The sequence below is a fragment of the Homo sapiens genome, chromosome 11, assembly GCF_000001405.40.
Source record: "Homo sapiens chromosome 11, GRCh38.p14 Primary Assembly".
NCBI lineage: Eukaryota > Metazoa > Chordata > Mammalia > Primates > Hominidae > Homo > Homo sapiens.
Window position 1 is genome coordinate 12,063,303 of NC_000011.10, and position 4,056 is coordinate 12,067,358.

The window sequence follows — 4,056 nt, forward strand, 5'->3', positions numbered from 1 at the left end:
ATAATAACAATTTTATACTCTATCCTAAGCATTAACACAGGTCCTTAAAAATTCTTTGTATGTATCATTTAATATGGCTACATTCTACTCTATCAAGTGGATCACCACTTATTAGTCATTTATTCTATTACCAGGCATGCAAGTTGTTTCCAGTTTTTCATTAACTCAAAAAAAAAAAAAAAAAACCACACACACACACTCTTTTGAGCGCGGTTGATGTAAGCCTTTATATACATTACTGATGGTGCCCTTAGCATGACTTACTGGGTTCAAGGTCATGAACATAACTTTTTTTCTTTTGAGACAGGGTCTCACTCTATCACCTATGCTGGAATGCAGTGGCACAGTCAATCACAGCTCACTGCAGCCTTGACCTCCCAGACTCAGGTGATCCTCCCACCTCAGCCTCCCAAGTAGCTGGGACTACAGGCGTGCGCCACCACACCCAGCTCATTTTTGTATTTTTAATAAAGACAGTGTTTTGCTGTGTTGCCCAGGCTAGTCTCGAATTCCTGGACTCAAGCATTCCACCTGCCTCAGCCTCCCAAAGTGCTAGGATTACAGGTGTGAGTCACTGCACCCAGTCAGAATATAACCTTTTTACAGCTTTATTGAAGTATAATTTACATAACATAAAATTCACCTATAGTAAATATACAATTCAATGATTTGTAATAAATTTGTATACTTTTACAACCATGTCCACAATCAGTTTTAGAATATTTTTATCAACCCAAAACATTTCATGCTATGCTCATTTGCAGTCAAATATAGTCCTACTTTAAACCCAGTCAACCACAAATCTACTTTCTTCCTCTATTGATTTGTCTTTTCTGGACATTTCGTATAAACAGAATCATACAACATGTATTCTGTTCTGTGTGGCTTCCTTCCCTTAGCATACTGTTTTTATGGTTCATTCATGTTGTGGCATGAATCAGTACTTTTTTCTTTTTATGCTAAGTACTATCTCAGTGGATGCGTTTATTACATTTTGCTTATTCATTCACCTGTCAATGGAAATTTGGATTGTTTCCAGTTTTTGCCTATTAAGAACAAAGTTGCTGTGAATATTTGCATACAAGTCTTTGTGTGGACGTATGTTTTCATTTCTCTGGGTTACATTCCTAGGAGTAGGTCATATAATAAGTTTATAGTTAACTTTTTAAGAAACTGCCAAATTGTTTTCCAAAGTGGTTGCTCCATTTTATGTTCCCACCAGCAACGTATGAGAGTTCCACTTTCTTCACATCCTGTGGTACCTCTTCGTGGTTGAATTTGCATTTTCCCAATAACTAAGGGTGTTGAATGTCCTTTCATGTGTTTATTAGCCATTTGTGTATCTTTTTCAAAGAAATGTCTGTTCAAATGTTTTTCTCATTTTTAATTTGGTTGATTGTCTTAGTGTTGTAAGAGTTCTTTATATATTCTGGAAATAAGTCCTTTATCAGATATATGATTTGCAATTCTTTTCTCTTAGTCTGTGGCTTGTCTTTTTGGGGTTTTTTTTGTTGTTGTTTGTTTTTGAGACAGTCTCCCTGTCGCCAAGGCTGGAGTGCACAGTGGCAGGATCTCAGCTCACTGCAACCTCCTCCTCCCAGGTTCACACGATTCTTGTGTCTCAGCCTCCCAAGTAGCTGGGATTACAGGCATGCACCACCACGCACAGCTAATTTTTGTATTTTTAGCAGAGATGAGGTTTCACCATGTTGACCAGGCTGGTCTCAAACTCCTGGCCTCAAGCAATCCACCCGCCTCGACCTTCCAAAGTAATGGAATTACAGGCATGAGCCACCATGCCTGGCCTTGTCTTTTCATATTTTTAATGGTATTTCTAGAAGAGCAAAAGATTTTCATTTTGATAAAGTCCAATTTACCTTGTTTTTCTTTTTAGATTGCCCTTTTTGGTGACTTGTCTAAGAAAGTTTTGCCTAACAAGGTCATAAACATTTTCTCCTATGTTTTCCTTTACAAGTTTTTAAAATATAATTTTAAAATAATTTTTCATTTTGAACATAATCCATAGTAACATTAAAAACAAATAGAAAATATAAACAGGGCACAGTAGCTCACACCTGGAATCCTAGCACTTTGGAAGGCAGAGGCAGGTAGAGTTCAAGATCAACCTGGGCAACATAGTGAAACCCTGTCTCTACTAAAAATACAAAAATTAGCCAGGCATGGTGGTGGGCACCTGCAATCCCAGCTATGTGTGAGTGTGTGAGGCTGAGATGGGAGAATCACTTGAATCCGGGAGGCAGAGGTTGCAGTGAGCGGAGATGGTGCCACTGCACTCCAGCCTGGGCAACAGAGTGAGACTCCTTCTCCGCCTAAAAAAATAAAAAAATAAAATTAGCCAGGTATCTTGGGGCATGCCTGTAGTCCCAGCTACTTGGGAGGCTGAGGTGGGAGGATTGCTTGAGCCTGGGAGATCAAGGCTGCAGTGAGCTGTGAGCATGTTATGGCACTCCAGCCTGAGTGACAGATTGAGACCCTGTCTCAAAAAAAAAAAAAAAAAAAGAAAGAAAGAAAAAGAAAATGTTGATCAGCAAAAGGAAGAAGTTACAGATCACTCATAATCCCCCTGCCCCAAAATTCATGTTTTGTTACACGTCTTTATTGGTTACCTATTGCTGCATAACAAATTATTCCCAAAATGTAACAGCTTAAAATAACACATTTATTATCTCAAAACTTCTGTGGATTGGGAATCTGGGAGCACTCTTCTTGGTGCCTTTGGCTCAGGATCACTCACAAGGCTGCAGTCAAGGTATCCCCTGGGGCAGCCATCGTCTCAAGCCTCCGCTGGAAGAGGGTGCATGTCCAAGCTTGCCCATGTGGCTGTGGGCAGGCCTCAAGTCTTCACTGGCTGTTGGCTGAAGGCATCAATTTCTTGCCATGTGGGTCTCCCCACAGGGCAATTCACAACATGGCGACTGGCTTTCCTGAGAGCAAGCAAACAAGAGCAGGCAAGAAGGTGCCCAAACAGGCCACCCCCTTTTTGTAACTTATTCATAGAAGTGACATCCCTTTATCTTGTGCCCTGCTGAATGCTTAGAGGTGAGTCACCAGGTCCAGCTCACTCTCCAGGGAAGGGGATTGCACAAGTTCTGAATACCAGGAGGTGGGGGTCATTGGGGACCGTATTAGAAGGCTGCCACGATGTCCTTCTTGTTACTCATCTTTTGTTGTTCTTACGTATTGGGTGGTAAATCTTCACCTGTGGAACTTTTTCCACAGATGCAGGGGCCCCTTTCTAGATTCTAGATTCTCCTGAATCAGGATCTCCTGAGAACCGCAGTTCTCTGTATGCTTATCTCTGAAAAGCTCCACAGGTCATTCTAATGGGAGCCAAGTAAGAGTCACTCAAAAGTGAGTATTTCCCATATGGATTACAACTGCATATATGTTTAGAAGCATTTTTTTTTCTTTTTATCCCCTCAAATAGTGTTGAACACAAATGTGTTCCAGGTGCTTGGTTCTCAGTGTGGGGCCATCATTTCCATTTCTCCTCAGGAAGCTGTGTTTTACGATCCCTTTGCAGGCAGAGCCCCACCAACCAGGCCTGGCGATCATGACATCCAATTCCAGGGGCTGCAGGGGAGCCCTTCCTTCCGAGTGAGCCACGAGGCTGCCTGCCCTGGTGTTTGGCTTCAGGCAGCTCTGACATCAATCTGTCATTCCAGAGGACACTTTTAGATGTAAGTCTGCTGGTGTGGGGACTTTATGAGAACAGGAATCCCTGGCTGTGAAATTGCTGGCATTTCATGATGTGAGAGAAGATTTACAAGCTCCATGCTGAGCTAGGCTCTTAACACAAGCCCAAGCAGTTACACAATCCAGCCTGCCAGGCAGGCAGAATGTGCAGGGAGCGGCAGGTGGGAGGAAGGGGAAGCTGCCACTTTACCATGCTCAGGACGCCTGGCCCTATCCAAACACCCACTGGGGGCTTAGTGCAAAGTTGCCTTAACTGTATTCACTGCAGCACGGGTCCCTCTGCAGATCTTAGTAAGCAAATGGGCAGTGGTATGTTGTGAGACTGTGGATTCAGAGAGG

The 4,056-nt window shown here is 42.5% G+C and overlaps 2 annotated features.

Annotated features, from left to right (window-relative positions):
- Nucleotides 2,634–3,833: an enhancer, noted in NCBI's record as "CDK7 strongly-dependent group 2 enhancer chr11:12087483-12088682 (GRCh37/hg19 assembly coordinates)". NCBI's record gives its function as "activates an origin of replication core promoter dependent on BRD2, BRD4, P300/CBP, MED14 and CDK7 cofactors, with strong dependence on CDK7, by STARR-seq in HCT116 cells {active_cell/tissue: HCT116}" and the evidence as "EXISTENCE:reporter gene assay evidence [ECO:0000049][PMID:35650434]".
- Nucleotides 2,849–3,371: an enhancer, noted in NCBI's record as "H3K27ac-H3K4me1 hESC enhancer chr11:12087698-12088220 (GRCh37/hg19 assembly coordinates)". NCBI's record gives its function as "activates a minimal SCP1, AML or CMV promoter by ChIP-STARR-seq in primed H9 embryonic stem cells {active_cell/tissue: H9 hESC(primed)}" and the evidence as "EXISTENCE:reporter gene assay evidence [ECO:0000049][PMID:30033119]".